At 45.7% G+C, this 21728-nt stretch overlaps 1 protein-coding gene across 6 annotated transcripts in view; it reads right to left on the bottom strand.

The window, feature by feature from the left end:
- The window catches only part of PHF20 (PHD finger protein 20), a 178356-nt gene that overhangs the window by 143094 nt on the left and 13534 nt on the right, over positions 1-21728 (bottom strand). For 3 of the 6 annotated variants that reach the window (NM_016436.5, XM_017027868.3, XM_047440181.1), the window contains exon 2: positions 5672-5786. In NM_016436.5, the coding sequence (NP_057520.2) occupies positions 5672-5754 (83 nt within the window). In that variant the 5' untranslated portion in view covers positions 5755-5786. Of the gene's footprint in view, positions 1-5671; positions 5787-7103; positions 7184-21728 lie in introns of those variants that run through there. The other 3 variants (XM_047440180.1, XM_047440182.1, XM_047440184.1) reach the window with 2 other exon arrangements.

Below are 21728 nucleotides of genomic sequence, written 5' to 3'. Positions count from 1 at the left end.
TGGAGGTTATAAAACATCACTAAAGTTCATAAAGTAAAACATGAATAAGTATAAAGATGTATTTTCATGAATGAAAACTTTTTATCAAGATACCAATTAAATACAATTTACTTCAAAACTCCAAAAACACTTTTCAAGACACTCAACAATACTACAAAAATTCACATTAAAGAGTAAAGGTTGACCGGGTGCAGTGGCTCATGCCTGTAATCCCAGCACTTTGGGAGGCCAAGGCGGGCAGATCACAAGGTCAGGAGATCGAGACCATCCTGGCTAACACAGTGAAACTCCGTCTCTGCTAAAAATACAAAAAATTAGCCGGGCGTGGTGGCAGGCACCTGTAGTCCCAGCTACCCGGGAGGCTGAGGCAGGAGAATGGCGTGAACCCGGGAGGCGGAGCTTGCAATGAGCCAAGATCGTGCCACTGCACTCCAGCCTGGGCGACTGAGCAAGATTCCGTCTCAAAAAAAAAAAAAAAAAAAAAAGAGTAAAGGTCTAAGAATACAACAAATAAAATAAAACCTGTCTTACCAGATATCAAGAGTTATGTTAAAGCAATATCAATTAAATAATGTGTTATTACAAGCACAGGAGTAAACATAAATCAATGGAATAGACTAAAGATCTGAGAACAGGCCTATGTAAATATGAGGCTTAGTACATACAAGTGGTATTGCAGGTCAATAGGGAAAGAATGGACTATTCTAAACATGATATTGGAGCAACTGGTTATTCATTGAATTAAAAAATAATAATTAGATACAAGTTCATACTACACATAAAATGAATTCCAGGTGGATTAAAAACCTAAATATGTGCCAGGCATGGTGACTCACGCTTGTAATCCCAGCACTTTGGGAAGCCGAGGCAGGTGAAACACTTGAGGTCAGGAGTTCAAGACCAGCTTGGCCAACATAGTGAAACCTCATCTCCACTAAAAATACAAAAAATTAGCCTAGCATGATGGTATGTGCTGGTAGTCCCATCTGCTCAGAAGGCTGAGGTGAGAGGATCACCTGAGCCTGGAAGTCAAGGCTGCAATGAGTTGTAACTGCACCACTACACCCCAGCCTAGGCAACAGAGTGAGACATATCAAAAAAAAAAAAAAAAAAATGCCAGGCATGGTGGCTCACGCTTGTAATCCCAGCACTTTGGGAAGCTGAGGAGGGCAGATCACAAGGTCAGGAGTTCCAGACCATCCTGGCCAACACAGTGAAACCCTGTCTCTACTAAAAATACAAAAATTAGCTGGGTGTGGTGGCGGGCGCCTGTAATCCCAGTTACTCAGGAGGCTGAGGCAGGAGAATCGCTTGAACCCAGGAGGAGGTGGAGGTTGCAGTGAGCCAAGATTGTGCCACTGCACTCCAGACTGGGCGACAGAGCAAGACTCTGTCCCAAACGAAAAAAAAAAGAACTGAAAAAAATACCAGAGTATAATGCATGTATTAAGGTTAAATACTACTTCATAAAATTTGTGTTTCAGTTAAATTTATATAGATCAGGTATGGTGACTTATGCCTGTAACCCCAGCATTTTGGGAGGCCAAGGCAGGAGGATCACCTGAGCCCAGGAATTCGAGATCAGCCTTGGCAACATAGTGAGACCTCATCTCTACTAAAAATTTAAAAATTAATCAGGCGTGTGGCTGGGCATAGTGGCTCACACCTATAATCCCAGCACTTTGGGAAGCCAAGGCGGGCAGATCACGAGGTAAATCTTGGCTAACACAGTGAAACCCCGTCTCTACTAAAATTACAAAAAATTAGCCGGGAAGCTAAGGCAGGAGAATGGCGTGAACCCGGGAGGCGGAGCTTGCAGTGAGCCGAGATTGCGCCACTGCACTCCAGCCTGGGCGACAGAGCAAGACTCCATCTCAAAATAATAATAATAATAATAATAATAATAATAATAATAATAATAAAAAATCAGGCGTGGTGGCATGTGCCTGTGGTCCCAGCTGAAGCAGGAGGACTGCTTAAGCCAAGGGAGGTCAAAGCTGCAATGAGCTCTGTTCCCACCACTGCACTCCAACCTGAGCAACAGAATGAGACCTTGTCTGGAAAAATAAAAATAGGCCGGGTGCCATGGATCTGGCCTGTGGTCCCAGCACTCAGGAGGCCGAGTTGGGCAGATCGCCTGAGGCCAGGAGTTCAAGACCAGCCTGGCCAACATGGTGAAACACCGGCTCTACTAGAAATAAAAAAAAAATAGCCAGGCATGGTGGCACACACCTATAATCCCACATACTCAGGAGGCTGAGGCACGAGAATCGCTTGAACCTGGGAGGCGGAGATTGCAGTGAGCCAAGATCACGACCCTGCATTACAGCCTAGGCAACAAAGTGAGACGCTGTCTCGACAGCGTTTCAAAAAAATAATAATAAAAACAAAATAAAAATAAATTTTTATGTACATATGGTTGAGTACCACACTGGATTTAAAATACATTTCTTACTGTAGGTTGTGGTCAAAAGCCACTGCCCAAGTAAAAGTCTGTGTATGTGCACAAAGAGACATTCACACAGCACTGTGTCTCAGGTGAAAAACTGGAATTTAAGCACCCATTTAAAAAAAAATACAATAAAAAATAATAAATAAATAAACGGGCCAGGAGCGGTGGCTCACACCTGTAATCCCAGCACTTTGGGAGGCCAAGGTGGGTGGATCACCTGAGGTCACAAATTTGAGACCAGCCTGGCCAAAATGGCGAAACCCCATCTCTACTAAAAGTACATAAATTAGGCTGGGCGCGGTGGCTCACGCCTGTAATCCCAGCACTTTGGGAGACCGAGGAGGGTGGATCACGAGGTCAGGAGATCGCAACCATCCTGGCTAACACCGTGAAACCCCGTCTCTACTAAAAAAATACAAAAAAATTAGTTGGGCATGGTGGTGGGTGCCTGTAGTCCCAGCTGCTCGGGAGGCTGAGGCAGGAGAATGGCGTGAACCCAGGAGGCAGTGCTTGCAGTGAGGAGAGATCGAGCCACTGCACTCCAGCCTGGGCGACTGAGCAAGACTACGTCTCAAAAAAAAAAAAAAAAAAAAAACATACAGTAGCTTGGCAAGGTGGGCACCTGTAATCCCAGCTGAGGCTGAACTGCTTGAACCCAGGAGGCGGATGTTGCAATGAGCCAAGATTGTGCCACCACACTCCAGCCTGGGTGACAGAGCTAGACTCCATCATAAATAAATAAACAAACAAACAAACGTCCATTAGTAGGGGACTAGATAAACAAAATGTGGTATATTCATACAATAAAACTCTATACAGAAGTTAAGATGTAGTCCCAGATACATGGAGGGCTAAGGCAGGAGGATCACTTGAGCCCAGGAGTTGGAGGCCACAGTGAACTATGATTGTGCCATTACACTCCAGCCTGAGCAATAGAGTAAGACCCTATATCAGGGGTGGGCGAGGAGGGTGCGGAGTTAAGTATGGGTAAATCACAAAAACATATTGAATATAAAAAACAAAGACACAGAAAAAAAACAAGTTGTATGATACTACTTATATAATATATATACATACAATATATAATATATATACACACACGCAGTATATTATATATATACACACACACACACACACACATATATATATACTGAAACCAAAAAAGGAACTAATTATAGATAATACAAATAGCCCAAAAACAGGCAGGCTTGGTGGCTCACGCCTGTAATCCCAGCACTTTGGGAGGCCGAGGCAGGCAGATCATCTGAGGTCAGGAGTTGGAGACCAGCCTGGCCAACATGGTGAAACCCTGTCTCTACTAAAAATACAAAAAATTGGCCGGGCATCGTGGTGCATGCCTGTAATCTCAGCAACTCAGAAGGCTGAGGCAGAGGAATTGCTTGAACCTAGGAGGCAAAGACTGCAGTGAGCCGAGATCACGCCACTACACTCCAGCCTGAATGAAAGAGCAAGACTCTTGTCTCCAAAAAAAAAAAATAGCCCAAAAACAACTGTGTTGAAAATGTACCTAATTACCTAATTATTTTTTCTTTTTTCTTTTTTTTTTTTTTCCGGGACGGAGTCTCGCTCAGTCACCCAGGCTGGAGTGCAGTGGCGCGATCTTGGCTCAATGCAGCCTCCACCTCCCAGGTTCAAGTGATTCTCCTGCCTCAGCCTCCTGAGTAGCTAGGACTACATGCGTGCACCATCATGCCCGGCTAATTTTTATATTTTTAGTAAAGACGGGGTTTCATTATGTTGGCCAGACTGGTCTTGAACTCCTGACCTCGTGATCCGCCCACCTCAGCCTCCCAAAGTGCTGGGATTATAGGCGTGAGCCACCACAACTGGCCAAGTGTACCTAATTCTTTTTTTTTTTTTTTTTTCAGACCGAGTCTCACTCTGTTGCCCAGGCTGGAGTGCAGTGGTGCAATCTCGGCTCACTGCAACCTCCACCTCCCGGGTTCAAGCAATTCTCCTGGCTCAGCCTCCCGAGAAGCTGGGATTACAGGCATGCACCACCATGCCCGGCTAATTTTTTGTATTTTTAGTAGAGACGGGGTTTCGCCACTTTAGCCAGGCTGGTCTCGAACTCCAGACCTCAGGTGATCCACCCACCTCGGCCTCCCAAAGTGCTGGGATTACAGGCGTGAGCCACCGCGCCCAGCCAAGTGTACCTAATTCTAATAGCAAAGACAGTTTTCTGTACCAGCTGCTTCTATGCCTCTCTTCTCCTGTCTTATCTTCCTACACCTGAAGAGCTGATCAATCTATTTTGAAAGAATCTCAAAAAGGGTTAAACTCTTCCTTCTTTAGCTCAAAAAGGAATTAGCCAGGCATGGTGGCACACATCTGCAATACCAGCTACTCAGGAGGCTGAGGCACGAGAACTGCTTGAACCTGGGAGGCAGAGGTTGCAGTGAGCCAAGATCTGCCTGGGTGACAGAGCGAATCTCTGTCTAAAAAAAAAAAACAAAAACCCTTAAAGAGGTATAAGTTCTGAAAACCCCACGCTCACCTTGAGCACCAAAAAATGACCAAATTCTAGGATGCCCTCAACCACAACAATCACTTCACAGTCTATAAGGTCTTTCCTTACATATTCTATCATTTGATTCTCAGAATAACCCTATGAGGTCAATATTACCAATACCCACATTTATAGATAAGCCAATGCACAAAGCAGCTAATTACCAGCCAGAGGTCACAAGTCAATGACACAGCTGGGACTATAACCCCTCAGCTTCTGAACCTAATCACCCTGACAGTGTGCCCTTACATGATGACTGTATTTCAACATACAAGATCATGCCCAGAAAATAGGATGGGGTGTTCACAACACATGAGCTGCTCCAATCGAACCCCTTTTTCTTCACTATTCCATCCCTGATCTTTCCTCTTTTTTCAGACAGGCAGCCAGGAGCAAGAGAGCTGCCACTATTAACTCTTCCCTTCCCTGTAGCCATTCCTGCTTCTTTTTCCCAGAACTCTTTCAGATGAACAGGCAAAAGGGGGAAACAAATATATACAGGGGGTTACAGGACAGTCACCCTGACACTGGGATCCCTGCATCAAAGAGAAAAGACTGACATTTCCTCACATCTTCCAAGAGTCAGGAAGTAGAAAAACACCACAAAAAAAGCCTAAGCTACCACTCTATCAGTGCTGGCAAAAATCCTTTACTGAAGGGCTTTAATTAACAGAAAAATGTAAAAGTACCAGTTTTTTAAACGGTCCCGGGCTTCCAACTGGGCTCCCACTTCAAAGCTGATTCCTCGTCTGTTAGGTGGATGCTTTGTCATTTTCAGTCATCAACGGGGCTGCCTTTATTCTCCTGAAAAAGCCAATTAAATATTTATGAAACTTAGGCAAAGTCCACCCAGAGTGTAGCATCATTCACTACACATAAAAAAACAGGCATTATTCAAAACACAAAGCTCCATGAAACCCTGTTGGTGTCCTCATTCTAACACAGGTGTGTCTTCCACTGGTTCCTATTCCTCCATCGTGCAGCTTCCTGTGGTTTCTGGAACTAAGAAGACCCTCCCTCAACACTGCTTACCACTCACCTACAAGGGCCAAGGGCCACCCCTCAGAACTACAAAAAAACAACTGCTTTCACAGTTAAATTCAGTCATCTGCTGATGCATTATTCAACAAATATTTGCTCAGCGACTATTTAAGGAAACAATCAAGACCAAAAGAGACACAGCTCCTGCCCTCAAGAACCCTTCAGTCTACCGGGGAAACACAAAAATTTAGCCAGCAAACTGATAAATAACTGCAAACTGTAATTGCAATGAAATTTAAAGAGTTACAAAGGAAGCAAACAAATGCCAGGCACAGTAATGTATGCCTATAGCCCCAGCTACTTGGAAGGCAGAGCCAAGTTGTTTCTTTGAGCCCAGGAGTTCAAGACCAGCCTGAGAAACATAGCAAACGCTCGTCTCTTAAAAACAAAAAAAATTAAAAACGAAGCAAACAAAAGTTGAGATATTAATACTTGGTGCTACTTTTGGAAGGCTGTACGAGGTCTGTTTATTTATTTATTTTTTGAGACAGAGTCATACTCTTTTACCCAGGCTGAGTGCAGTGGTGCCATCTCAGCTCACCGTATCCTCCACCTCCCAGGTTCAAGCAATTCTGGAGCCTAGGCCTCCTGAGTAGCTGGGACTACAGGCGCATGCCACCACACCCAGCTAATTTTTGTATTTTGAGTAGAGATTGGGTTTCACCATGTTGGCCAGGCTGGTATCAAACACCTGACCTCAAGTGATCTGCCCACATCAACCTCCCAAAGTGCTGGTATTACAGGCGTGAACCACTGCGCCCAGAATTGTTTATACTTTCTTTGATCTATGTATATTTCCTACTTCTTTTTTTGTTTGTTGGTTTGTTTTTTGAGGAGTCTCGCTCTTGTCGCCCAGGCTGGAGTGCAATGGCATGATCTCGGCTTACTGCAACCTCTGCTTCTCGGGTTCAAGTGATTCTCCTGCCTCAGCCTCCCAAGTAGCTGGGATTGCAGGCACCTGCCACCATGCCCAGCTATATTTCCTACTTCTTGAGTCCATTCTGATCATTTGTATTTTCCTATAAGTTTTACCCAGATTTTTTTTTAATCATAGAACAATAAAACAGTAAAAATATTCACGTTTAATTCCTTTAATTGCCTTTGAATCTGAAGTCACAATTTGAATCTCTCCTTTCTCAATCCTGTCTCGTGTACTCGTGCTGCAATGAATAAAATTTATATTTATGATCAGAACCAAACAGTAAAGCCAATTTCCTTTTGATGGAAAAAAAAGGTGTACTGGATTAGGCCATTTACAAGAAAAGTGGCCCCCATAAAAGAACACTTCCGGCCGGGTGCGGTGACTCAAGCCTGTAATCCCAACACTTTGGGAAGCCGAGGCAGGCGGATCACAAGGTCAGGAGTTTGAGACCAGCCTGGCCAACATGGTGAAACCCCATCTCTACTAAAAATACAAAATTAGTGGGGCGCGGCGGCAGGCGCCTGTAATCCCAGCTACTTGGGAGGCTGAGGCAGAAGAATAGCTTGAACCTGGGAGGCGGAGGTTGCAGTGAGCCGAGATCACGCCACTGCACTCCAGCCTGGGTGACAGAGCAAGACTCCATCTTGAAAAAGAAAAAAAAAAAGAACACTTCTTGTGATCACTGAGGTAATTAATCTACTAATCTGCAGGGTCCTAAATGCTATCGGAGGAGCTAGTGGTGGTTCTGATGGACATGTAGCCACTCTGAACTCTAAGGGCACTTGAACAGGCCACTTCCTTACAGCAGACTTACCCCAGCCTAACTCTTTCCTCCCACTAAACTCTGGACTTTTTAAAATTTTTTTTAGACAGGGTCTCATTCTGTTGTCCAGGCTGGAATGCAGTGGCGCTATCATAGCTCACTGCAGCCTCAGACTCCTGGGCTCAAGCAATACTCCTGCCTCAGCCTCCCGAGTAGCTGGAATCACAGGCATGCGTCAGCACACCCAGCTTTTTTTTTTTTTTTTTTTTTTTTTTTTGCAGAGAGAGTATCTATGTTCCTAGGCTGATCTCAAACTCCTGGGTTCAAGCAATCCTCCCGCCTGGGCCTCCCAAAGTGCTGGGATTACAGGATTACAAGCACGAGCCACTGCATCCAGCCTTATACTTTGGCTCTTGACAGCCTACACTGCCCAAGCAATGCCAGAGCACTGCCAGAGCAATGCCTGCCTCCTACCAGAACACTTTCTTTGCAATAAATGAGTATGGAAAAAAATCACAGAAGTGAGTACATGTCTAATGTTTAATAGCAGCACATTTTATGAAGAATTTGCTTGCAATATATTACATAAAAAGGCAGGATGCAAAATTGTACCACATGGAGCTCACATTAAAACTCATACACAGCCAGATGAGGTGGCTCAGGCTTATAATCCCAGCTACTGAAAAGGCTGAGGCAGGAGGATCGCTTGAGCCCAGGAGGTTGAGACTGCAGTGAGTTATGATTGTGCCACTGTACTCCAGCCTGAGTGACAGAGCAAGAACCTGTCTCTTTAAAAAACAAAAACAAAAAAAAAAGGCCAGGCATGGTGGCTCATGCCTATAATCCCAGAACTTTGGGAGGCCGAGGCTGCCGGATCACCTGAGGTCAGGAGTTTGAGACCAGCCTAACCAACATGCAGAAACCCCGTCTCTACTAAAAATACAAAATTAGCCAGGCATGGTGGCACATGCCTGTAATTCCAGCTACCTGGGAGGCTGAGGCAGGAGAATCACTTGAACCCAGGAGGTGGAGGTTCCAGTGAGCCAAGATCGCACCATTACATTCTAGCCTGGGCAACAAGAGTGAAATTCTGTCTCAAAAAAAAAAGAAAAGAAAAGAAAAGAAAAAAACTCATATGAATTTATTTTTTTGGAGACAAGGTCTTGCTCACTCTGTCACTCAGGCTGGTCTACAGTGGCTCAAACCTGGATCACTGTAGCCTCGACTTCCTGGGCTCATGTGATCCTCCTTACTCAGCCTCCCAAGCACCTGGGACTACAGGTGCAAGCCACCACACCCAGCTAATTTGTTATCTGGTAGAGACAGGGTCTTGCTATGTGTTTGTCTGGGCTGGTCTCAAACTCCCAGGTTCAAGTGATCCTCCTGACTCAGCCTCCCAAAGTGCTGGAATTAGAGGCATGAGCCATGGTACCCAGCCACTGATTCTTTTGTAAAGACAGGAAGAAAAAAATAAGTTATAGGTTATTGGTGATTGTTCCTTTCTTCTTAAATACTTTCCTAAATTTTAGTTTTTCACAATGAAAATTTTTCACAAGTGTATAATGTAAAGGATTATACATGTGAAGGACAATAAGCTATCTATTAAACAACCCATTCCAGGCTAGGCGCAGTGGCTCATGCCTGTAGTCCCAGCACTTTGGGAGGTCGAGGTGGGAGGATCACAAGGTCAAGAGATCGAGACAATCCTAGCCAACATGGTGAAACCCCGTCTCTACTAAAAATACAAAAATTAGCCGGGCATGGTGGTGGGAACCTGTAATCCCAGCTACTCAGGAGGCTGAGGCAGGAGAATCACTTGAACCCAGGAGGCGGAGGTTGCAGTGAGTTGACATCGTGCCACTGCAAACCAGTCTGGGTGACAGAGCAAGATTCCATCTCAAAAAAAAAAAAAAGCCAAAAAACAAAAACAAACAAAAAAAACCACCAAAGAAGTAATTGTCAGCAGGAATTATCTAGATGATAAAATTTTATTTTATTCTGGTGGTGGGGTTGCTTCTTTATGTTTCTTCATATTTTTTTCTTTTTTTTTTTTTTGAGACAGGGTCTCACTCTGTCGCCCAGACTGGAGTGCAGTGGCACGATCTCAGCTCACTGTAACCTCCGCCTCCTAGGCTCAAGCAATTCTCCCACCTCAGTCTCCTGAGTAGCTGTGATTACAGGCATATGCCACTACTGCCCAGCTAATTTTTGCATTTTTAGTAGAGACAGAGTTTCACCATGTTGGCCAGGCTGGTCTTGAATTCCTGACCTCAAATGATGCACCCACCTTGGCCTCCCAAAGTGCTGGGATTACAGGCATGAGCCACCACGCCCGGCCCATTTTTTTCTTTTAAGGTTATTTAAATATGCAAATTTTTGGCCAGGTACACTGGCTCATGCCTATAATCCCAGCACTTTGGGAGGCTGAGTATAGGCCCATGCCTGTAATCCCAGCATTTTGGGAGGCCAAGGGGCAGGTAGCTTGAATCTAAGAGTTCAAGACCAGCCTGGGCAACTTGGTGAAATGTCATCTCTACAAAAAATCCAAAAAAAAACCTGCAAATTTTTTAAATGCAAGAATTTAATTCTTACACTATTTTACTATTTACTGGATCTTCACAACTGCCAGATTATATAATTAGGACTAATGTAATGTTACCATGGTATACAAGTAAAATTAAGTTACAGGGAGGAAACTGACATGCAGAGGTGCTAGCCAATTTCAAGGTCCTCTGAGGCAGGAGAAATCCCTCTTATCAAAAGTAACAGGATGTACGCAGAAGTAGACAAAGTACTTCTCAAAGGTCCTTCCTCTTTCTCTGACCAAAGTCGTTGCTATGCTTATATTCATATCTTTAGATATAAACATAACTTGAATACAGGAAGATAAAGCAACTGGATGCTTTTCAAATGTTGTGTCAAAATTATCACACCATTATATAACAAGCAGAAATACCTAATTTTTTAGAAAAGACAAAACCTAACACTGGTCCAGCTGTGGGGAAACAGGTACACTAGAACACCTCCTGGGGTCCTGACCATGGCCATCTTTTTATACCTTAATCTAGAAGCAAAGAACAACCTGTGGAACTGCTTATACTCTTGGACTCAGCCATTTCAAGCTGAAGAATACAGTCCAGGATAAAAATAAATCATTTGTGAAAATGAGAAAAACCAATAGCTCTTTACATAAGATTCTGGGCAAACTGGATGTAGTTCATCCATTAAAAAACAAGAGAATATTTAATCAAAATTCATTACAGTAGGACTACATTATAAACTCAACAAATATGTAATAAATTAAATAAAGAATGCTATTAAGCTACTACTATGATAAAGATATAAACTAACTTTACAGAGAGTAGATGTAAAATAACCTTATCCAAACTAACAAAACCCGCATAAAAAAAAAATGTATAGTCTGGGTGCGGTGGCTCACGCCTGCAATCCCAGCACTTTGGGAGGCCAAGGCGGGCGGATCATGAGGTCAAGAGATCAAGACCACCCAGGTAAACATAGTGAAACCCCGTCTCCACTAAAAAATACAAAAATTAGCTGGGCATGGTGGTGCGCACCTGTAGTCCCAGCTACTCAGGAGGCTGAGGCAGAACAATCACTTCAACCCTGCAGGTGGAGGTTGCAGTGAGCTGAGATCACACGACTGCACTCCAGCCTGGGCGACAGAGTGAGACTGTCTCAAAAAAAAAATTTATAATAATTAAACTTACATATATTAACCAATTTAATCCTTACAAAAATCACAGAAGTACTATATTAATCCCCATTATAAAGATGAGGAAAAAGAAAGTTAAGGACACTCACATAGTAAGGAGCTGAGCCAGCAATCGAACCTCAGTCCAGTAGCTCCTGAGTTCAGATTCTTACCCCAAGTTTATTTACAAGCTACATTGTTGAGCTCTGTTTCTTCACTTATGATATGGGGATAATGGCCCCTATCGTGGGTGCTATGAGAATTAAATGAGAAAGGTCTGCAAAACCCCTATTAAAATATCTAACACAAAGTAGGTAGTCAGCTGGGCGCAGTGGCTCACACCTATAATCCCAACACTTTGGGAGGGCAAAGTGGGCAGATCACTTGAGGTCAGGAGTTCGAGACCAGCCTGGCCAATGTGGTGAAACCCTGTCTCTACTAAAAAAATACAGAAATTAGCCAGGCATCATGGCACACACCTATAATCCCAGCTACTCAGGAGGGTGAGGCAGAAGAATTGCTTGAACCAGGGGATGAAGGTTGCAGTAAGCCAAGATGGCACCACTGCACTCTAGCCCAGGCATCAGAGTGAGATTCGTCTCAAAAAAAAACAAGTAGGTACTCAATAAATGATAGCAGATTTTTCTTCCTTTTTTTTTTTTTTTTAAGACAGAGTCTCGCTCTGTCCCCAGGCTACAGTGCAATGGTGCAATCTCAGCTCACTGCAACCTCCTCCTCCCGGGTTCAAGCGATTCTCCTGCCTCAGCCTCCCAAGTAGCTGGGATTACAGGAGCACACCACCACACCCAGCTAATTTTTGTATTTTTAGTAGAGACAGGGTATTGCCATGTTGGCCAGGCTGGTCTCAAACTCATGACCTCAGGTGATTTGCCCACCTCAGCCTCCCAAAGTGCTGAGATTACAGGTGTGAGCCACCACGCCCATATTTTCTGAATTCATATCACATTTACAGTTAATGTACTGACAAAGACTCTGGGTTTTATTTTGGGAGAGGCAAAAGAGTACTGTCGCTATGGTAACTGGAAGTCTTGCCCTCAGCAATCCCTTTGTGCTCAGGGAAAAGAGGGACAACAAAGAATTAAAAGTGATAGATGGGTATGGAACAAGACCTTTCAGTGAATCAGCTCTGGGACAGGAGTAGAGGGAAATAAACTCTGGAACTTTCGAGGAAAAAAGTCTCTGGGACTCTCAAGGAATAAAATGCCAACCACCAGAAACTACAGAACAGGCTTTGGGATAATCTAATGGTGCTCACCACAAGGCTGGGATTCAACCTCCATTAAAGGGTGACAGTGCCTTTTAACTCAATACAACCACTTTAAATTGAGGGACACTTCAGGTGAAAGACCAGCTTAAATCTTTATGCCCCCCTCATTCAAGAAATATTCATTGAGAGCCTGCTGTGTGCCAGGTACTGGAAATAGACAATGGGAGGACAAGGCACCCGGACCCTGTTCTCTAGTGGGGAAGGCAGCTAAGAAACAAGATAAGCACATACATAAGGGTCATTTCTTTTTTCTTTTTTTTTTTTTTTTGAGACAGAGTTTTGCTCTTGTTGCCCAGGCTGGAGTGCAGTGGCACGATCTCGGCTCACTGCAACCTCCATCTCCCAGGTTCAAGAGATTCTCCTGCTTCAGCCTCCTGGTAGCTAGGATTACAGGTATGTGCCACCACGCCTGGCTAATTTTTGTATTTTTAGCAGAGAAGGGGTTTCTCCATATTGGTCAGGCTGGTCTCGAACTCCTGACCTCAGGCGATCCACCCACCTCAGCCTCCCAAAGTGCTGGGGATTACAGGTGTGAGCCACCGCGCCTGGCCTTTTTTTTTTTTTTTTTTTTTTGAGACAGAGTCCCGCTCTTGTCGCCCAGCCCAGCGTGCAAGGTGCAATCTCGGCTCTCTGCAACCTCCGCCTCCCAGGTTCAAGCATCTCCTGCCTCACCCTCCCCAGTAGCTGGGATTACAGGCGTGCACCACCATGCCTGGCTAATTTTTGTATTTTTAGTAGAGACAGTGTTTCGCCATGTTGGCCAGGCTGGTCTCGAACTCCTGACCTCCAGTGATCCACCAACCTCAGCCTCCCAAAGTGCTGCGATTACAGGCATGAGCCACTGCGCCATGCGAGCATATAAAGATCATTTCTGACAGAGATAAGTAATTGTGGGAAAAACAACAAAATAATGTGAACCAGCGACATGGAAAGGACTATTTTAGATACGGCTGTTAGAAAGGACTCTCAAGACAGGCACAATGGCTCACGCCTGTAATCCCAGCACTTTGGGAGGCCGAGGCAGGTGGATCACCTGAGGTCAGGAGTTCGAGACCAGCCTGGCCAATATGGTGAAACCCCGTCTCTACTAAAAATACAAAAATTAGCCAGGCTTAGTGGTGGGCACCTGTAGTCCCACCTACTTGGGAGGCTGAGGCAGGAGAATTGCTTGAACCCAGGAGGTGGAGGTTGCAGTGAGCCAAGATCATGCCACTGCACTCCAGCCTGGGTGACAGAGCGAGACTCTTGTCTCAAAAAAAAAAAAAAAGAAAAAGAAAGGACTCTCTGAGGAACTGAGGTCTAAGCAGAGAACTAGGTGACAAGAAGGAGATCTAAAGGAAGTGACTTCTAAGCAAAGGCAACTACTACAGGCAAAGAATCTCCGGCAGAAAGGAGCTTTCCCCACACACAGCTTGAACCTAGAAGGTTGAGACTTCCCACAGCCCATGCTGCTGTCCCAAGAAAGCATAAACAATTTTAGCCGGTCCAGTGATACCTGGGTCTCCCAGGAAGAAGCCTCCAAGAGGACCTTTTGCCAAAGTTCTGCCGTGGAGGAAGGCCAGGGAATGCCTAGGGATGGGTGCACAGACAGGTTTTAGACTCAGATTCTAACCAATTCTGGCTCCAGGCATTGTTGGCTGAGCGACGACAAGAAAAATCACTGAGCCTGTTTGCCCAGCTATAAGATGGGATCAACAGCCCCAATTTCCTAGGGTTGTTGTGAAGAATAAGTGAGCTAATGGATGTCAAGTGCTTAGCATAGCAAACTCTAAATGGTACTGGTGATGGCAATGGTGGTATACTAGCAAAAAGGACATCAGACACAAAGAATTATAGTCAATATTATTAAAAATTAACAAACAGTATCCAATATACTAAAGTGCATAAAGAGCGTATCTTTAGTCGTAGGGAAGTGACAAATTGGTTCAAGTAGGACCTCTTCCCAGGTCACACTAGAAGAAAGGGAATTAGTCCCTTTTACTTGACAAGGTAGGGAAGGAGGGAGGAAAGGCAGAAGAGGTAAGGAGGAAGAAAAAGAAAGGAAGGAAGGAAGGGCAGGCAAGAATGAAAAGAGGGAAGAAGCCAGGCACGGTGGCTCACGCCTGTAATCCCAACACTTTGGGAGGTCGAGGAGGGCGGATCACCAGAGTTCAGTAGTTTGAGACCAGCCTGGCCAACATGGTGAAACCCCGTCTCTACTAAAAATACAAAAAATTAGCCGGGCGTGGTGGCAGGTGCCTGTAATCCCAGTTACTCAAGAGGCTGAGGCAGGAGAATTGCTTGAGCCCAGAAGGTGGAGGTTGCAATGAGCCAAGATCGAGCCACTGCACTCCAGCCTGGCGACAGAGCAAGACTCTGTCGTAAAAAAAAGAAGAGTGAAGAAAGAAATAGGCCTCAAAACTTCACCCACTTTCTTCCCAGATACTTGAAATGCTTTCTGCAAGAGTCAAGCTTTGCCTTCCATAATTAAAATGCAAAGAGACAGCAAACATGAGTTGAGTTTACTCATTCCAAACTACTGAGAATGAGTCGATTAAATCAGTGGATTTTCCCAGAAGCAGTGGAAAGGGCCTGTGCCAGGGTTGGCCCTAAAATGTATCTGCTGTATGACCTTTCGCATATTACTCAATTTCACTGAGCTAATCATCTTACCCTTACAAGTTCCTTCTCCTTTTGTCCCCATCAAATAAGCCCTCAAGATTGGCAAGTGTGCCAAACTAGAAACATGGGCACTTCCCTTACCTCCTTCTCCTTCCCTCACCTCCCACACTCGGACAACATTTTGTAGGACCTGCTTCTAAGTCTCAGCCATTGCCAAGTGGATGCCCAGTTCAGCCCTGCATCAGTTCTAATCTTGATTACTCCAGCAGCTCTTGACAGAGCTCCAATCCTCCAGCTATACCTTCCCCAGATCCAAATCAATACTGTCTCATGAGATGACATCTTCTCAGTGGTTATTTTATGACAAATACTATTCTAAGATACATATATACACACAATTCTAAGATATATATATATATATATATATATACACTATTCTAAGATATATATGTATATACTATTCTAAGATAGATAGATAGATAGATAGATAGATAGATAGATAGATAGATAGATAGATAGATAGATACTATTCTGGTATATATATACATATATATAAAAACTATATCAGCCCATTTAGTGTCTACCTCTTAGGTTTGTAATGAGGATTATTCCCATTTTATGGATGTGAAAACTGAGGTTCACAAAGTAAGTTTCCCAAATACCAAGGCTAGTCAGGTATTGGGACAAGGAATTGAACCGAGGTAAGGCTGACTCCAGTTAATTACACTGTTGCCAATCTTCATCACTGCTGCTACAGTGATATTTCTAAAATGTAAGTATGATCATAAGACTTCTATTTTAAAACAGTTCAGGCCGGACGCGGTGGCTCACGCCTGTAATCCCAACACTTTGGGAGGCTGAGGCAGGTGGATCACAAGGTCAGGAGTTCAAGACCAGCCTGGCCAACATGGTGAAACCTCGCCTCTACTAAAAATACAAAAATTAGCCGGGCATGGTGGCACACGCCTGTAATTCCAGCTACTCAGGAGGCTGAGACAGGAGAATCGCTCGAACCCAGGAGGTGGAGGTTGCAGTGAGCCAAGATCGCGCCACTGCAGTCCAGCCTGGGCAACAGAGCAAGGCTCTGTCTCAAAAAACAAAAACAAACAAACAAAAAAAACAGTTCAGCGGCTCCCCTACAGAACCATATTCAAGGTACTCAGCGCAGCATTTGGGCCATTAGTGAGTTAGCCATTATAACCAAGCCAAAAGAAACTCTCTTTTGGAGCTTAAAAGGAGAGAAGCAGGCAAGCTTTAGCAGAGGGGCTGTGGGACACAGCGGTTATGAGCCAGAACTCTGGAATAAGAGTGCCTGAGTTTGGACCTCAGCCCCACCACTTTCCAGATAAACTTGCACAAGTCATTTCCTCTCTGAGCTTCAGGCTCCCCATCTGTAAAATGAGGATATCACCAGCACCTACTTCAAACCATCATATAGGTGTTGTGAAGATAAAAGTTATTAGCACAGGTCAGGCCCGGTGGCTCACACCTGTAATCCCAGCACTTTGGGAGGCTGAGGCAGGCGGATCACCTGAGGTCAGGAGTTTGAGACCAGCCTTGTCAACATGGTGAAATCCCGCCTCTACTAAAAACACAAGAATTAGCCAGGCGTGGTGGCATGCGCCTGTAATCCCACCTACAGGGGAGGCTGAGGAAGGAGAATCGCTTGAACCCAAAAGGCAGAGGTTGCAGTGAGCCGGGATCACACCATTGCACTCCAGCCGGGATGACAGAGCGAGACTCCGTCAAAAAAAAAAAAGTTATTTAGCAGAGCCTGGCACACAATAAGCTTGCAGGGTTACTACTGTTCTTGCTGGGCATGGTGGCTCATGCATGTAATTCTAGCATTTTAGGAGGCAGAGGCGGGCGGATCACCTGAGATCAGAAATTCAAGACCAGCCTGGCCAATGTGGTGAAAACCCATCTCTACTAAACACAAAAAAAAATCAGCTGGGGATGGTGGCAGACGCCTGTAATCCCAGCTACTCAGGAGGCTGAGGCAGGAGAATTGCCTGAACCCGGGAGGCGGAGGTTGCAGTGAGCTGAGATCGAGCCACTGCACTCCGGACTGGGGAACAAGAGTAAAACTGTGTATAAAAAAAAAGGGGGGGGGGGGGGCGGGGGCTGGGCGCCATGGCTCACGCCTGCAATCCCACCACTTTGTGGGGCACAGGCAGGCGGATCATGAGGTCAGGAGTTCGAGACCAGCCTAGCCGACATGGTGAAACCCTGTCTCCACTAAAAATATAAAAAATTAGCCAGGCATGGTGGTGCACGCCTGTAGTCCTAGCTACTCAGGAGGCTAAGGCAGGAGAATTGCTTGAACCCGGCAGGTGGAGGTTACAGTGAGCCGAGATCCCGCCACTGCACTCCAGCCTGGAAGACAGAGCAAGACTGCGTCACAAAAAAAGAAAAAGAAAAAGAAAAAAGGGTTATTACTGTTCTTACCACCCATACTCCTGCCACATCCAAACACCCTGCAGTTCCGACCTCCAGGGCCTTTGTATAAACAAGCTGCTTTTGTTTTTTTTTTTTTTTTGATGGAGTCTTGCACTGTCACCCAGGCTGGAGTGCAATGGCACAATCTTGGCTCACTGCAACCTCTGTCTCCCAGATTCAAGCGACTCTCCTGCCTCAGCCTCCCAAGTAGCTGGAATTACAGGAGCAAGCCACCATGCCAGGCTAATTTTTGTATTTTTACTAGAGACGGGCTAGTCTCTAGTTTCACCATGTTGGCCAGGGTGGTCTCGAACTCCTGACCAGGTGATCTGCCCCCTCCCTCACTAAGCCTCCCAAAGTGCTGGGGTTAAAGGCATAAGCCACTGCACCTGGCCAAACAAGCTGCTTTCTCTTCCTGGTCCTTCATGACCAGGATTAGCCATTGGAACCTCCCTGAAGGACTTCCTTCACACCTGCATTCTCCCATGGCAACCTAACCTACCCTCTGGGCCACAGCATTCATCACTCTATGCTGAAACTGCCTATCTAAGCAGATCTCTCCCAAGAGGCAATTAACTCCTCATAGGCATCCCCAGCATCTAACAAGCAGTGCCCTTAACATGGTGGTCAAATGTTTGTTAAATGATATAACCTGGCCAGGCGTGGTGGCTCACGCCAGTAATCCCAGCACTTTGGGAGGCCAAGGTGGGTGGATCGCCTGACGTCAGTTCAAGAACACCCTGGCTAAAATGGCAAAACCCCATCTCTAGTAAAAATACAAAAATTAGCCAGGCGTGGTGGTGTACACCGGTAATCCCAGCTACTCAGGAGGCTGAGGCAGGAGAAACGCTTGAACATGGGAGGTGGAGGTTGCAGTGAGCAGAGATCATGCCATTGCACTCCAGCCTGGGCAACAGAGCGAGACTACGTCTCAAAAAAAAAGAGGTAACCTCAGCCTTCTCACTGGCAAAATGGAAATAAAAACAGAAAAGAGGCCAGGTGCAATTGCTCACACCTGTAATCCCAGTACTTTGGAAGGCCAAGGTGAGAGGATCACTTGAGTGAGGCCAGGAGTTTGAAGCCAGCCTGGGCAACATAGTGAGATCTCAACTCTACAAAAAATAAAAAAAATAGGCCAGGCACAGTGGCTCACACCTGTAATCCCAGCACTTTGGGAGGCCGAGGAGGGTGGATCACGAGGTTAGGAGATCGAGACCATCCTGGCTAACATGAGGAAACCCTGTCTCTACTAAAAACACAAAAAATTAGCCGGGCGTGGTGGCGGGCGCCTGTAGTCCCAGCTACTCAGGAGGCTGAGGCAGGAGAATGGCATGAACCTGGGAGGCGGAGCTTGCAGTGAGCCGAGATCGCGCCACTGCACTCCAGCCTGGGCAACAGAGCAAGACTCCGTCTCAAAAAATAAATAAATAAACAAATAAATAAAAATATAGAGCTGCGCTAGGTAGCTCACACCTGTAATCCCAGCACTTTGGGAGGCCAAGGCAGGTGGATCACTTAAGGCCAGGAGTTCAAGACCAGCCTGGCCAAAATGGTGAAACCCTGACTCTACTAAAAACACAGAAATTAGCCGGGTGTGGTGCCAAGGGCCTGTAATCCCAGCTACCAGGGAGGCTGAGGCAGGAGAATCACTTGAACCCAGGCGGAGGTTGCAGTGAGCAAAGATTGCGCCACTGCATTCCAGCCAGGGAGACAGAGCGAAACTCTGTCTCAAAAAGTAAAAATAAAAATAAAAAAATAGGCTGGGCGCGGTGGCTCATGCCTGTAATCCCAGCACTTTGAGAGGCAGAGGTGGGCACAGAGCGAGACCAGCCTGACCAACATGGTGAAACCTCGTCTAGACTAAAAATACAAAATTAACTGGCATGGTGGTGCTTCCCTGTAATCCCAGCTACTTGGGAGGCTGAGGCAGGAGAATCGCTTGAACCCAGGAGGCGGAGATTGCAGTGAGCAGAGATTGTGCCACTGCACTCCAGCCAGGGAGACAGAGCGAAACTCTGTCTCAAAAAGTAAAAATAAAAATAAAAAAATAGGCTGGGCGCGGTGGCTCACGCCTGTAATCCCAGCACTTTGAGAGGTGGAGGCGGGCAGATCACCTGAGATCGGGAGTTAGAGACCAGCCTGACCAACATGGTGAAACCTCGTCTAGACTAAAAATACAAAATTAACTGGGCATGGTGGTGCATCCCTGTAATCCCAGCTACTCAAGAGGCTGAGGCAGGAGAATCGCTTGAACCTGGGAGGCAGAGGTTGCAGTGAGCCGAGATCACATCATTGCACTGCAGCCTGGGCAACAAGAGTGAAACTCTGTCTGAAATAAATAAATAAATAAATAAATAAATAAATAAATAATTAGCCAGGCACAGTGACACACACCTGTCGTCCTAGCTACTCAGGAGGCTGAGGCTGGAGAATCACTTGAGCCCAGGGGTTCAAGGCTGCAGTGAACTATGATTGCACCACCGTACTCCAGCTTGGGCAACAGAGCAAGAGACCCTGTCTCCAAAAAAAAAAAAAAAAAACAGGAAAGAGATCAATATCATCCACCTCAATGGGTATATAGATTCAAGAAGATAATCACATGGAGGTTCTTTGAAGAGTGTTATCCACAGGTAAACGTGGGAACTATTATTACTCCTTGCGTGCAGAGGAAGGCAAAGCATGCGGAATGAAGCAACTGAAGACTGATCACAGTTTTATCCCTGGGGCTTAAGAAAAGCTGTATCCATTTCTTCAGGCACTGGGGGCTCCAATCTATCAATACTCTACACTCTCTGAGTGATATAGTCTATAGCTCTGGAGTGAGTTTTGAGACGGAGTCAAGCTCTGTCGCCAAGCTAGAGTGCAGTGGCTCAATCTCGGCTCACTGCAACCTCCACCTCCTTGGTTCAAGTGATTCTCCTGCCTCAGCCTCCCAAGTAGTTGAAACTACAGGCGTGCACCACCAAACTGGGCTAATTTTTTGTATTTTAGTAGAGACAGGGTTTCACCATGTTGGCCAGCATAGTCTCGATCTCCTGGCCTTGTGATCCACCCGCCTCGGCCTCCCAAACTGCTGGGATGACAGGCATGAGCCACTGCTCACAGCCTAGGGGAAGTCTTATTTATTTATTTATTTATTGAGACGGAGTCGCGCTGTGTCACCAGGCTGGAATGCAGTGGCGCGATCTCGGCTCACTGGAACCTCCAACTCTCTAGTTCAAGCGATTCTCCTGCCTCAGCCTCCTGAGTAGCTGCGATTACAGGCACACGCCACCACACCCAACTAATTTTTTTTTGTATTTTTAGTAGAGACGGGGTTTTACCATGTTGACCAGGATGGTCTCGATCTCCTGACCTCGTGATCCACCTGCCTCGGCCTCCCAAAGTGCTGGGATTACAGGCGTGAGCCACCACGCCCAGCTGGGAAGTCTTTTTTTAAACACACCTGACCAGCTATCCTTACAAGATTTGTTTTTTTTTTTGTTTTTTTTTTTTTTGAGATGGAGTTGCGCTCTGTCGCCCAGGCTGGGGTGCAGTGGTGCAATCTCAGCTCACTGCAACCTCCGCCTCCCGGGTTCAAGCGATTCTCCTGCCTCAGCCTCCCAAGTAGCTGAGATGACAGGCACCTGCAACCATGCCCAGCTAATTTTTTGTATTTTTAGTAGAGACGGGATTTCACTGTGTTGGCCAGGCTGGTCTCAGCCTCCCAAAGTGCTGGGATTACAAGCGTGAGCCACCACACCCGGCCTATTCTTACAGAATTTCTTAATTGAAATATCACCATATTACAAAGGAAAACAATTTGGAGATGAAATCATTACTCAACAGGGCCTTGAGAGACATTTTCATGCCTATGGAGTTTTAAATACCTAAGATATTTATGAGACAATTCATTAATTCCCTTATCTTGGCAGGGTGTGGTGGCTCACACCAGTAATCCCAGCACATTGGGAGGCTGAGGCGGGAGGATCACCTGAGGT

Source organism: Homo sapiens, chromosome 20, assembly GCF_000001405.40.
Source record: "Homo sapiens chromosome 20, GRCh38.p14 Primary Assembly".
NCBI classification, from domain to species: domain Eukaryota; kingdom Metazoa; phylum Chordata; class Mammalia; order Primates; family Hominidae; genus Homo; species Homo sapiens.
This window is presented reverse-complemented; position numbering and strand designations above follow the sequence as displayed.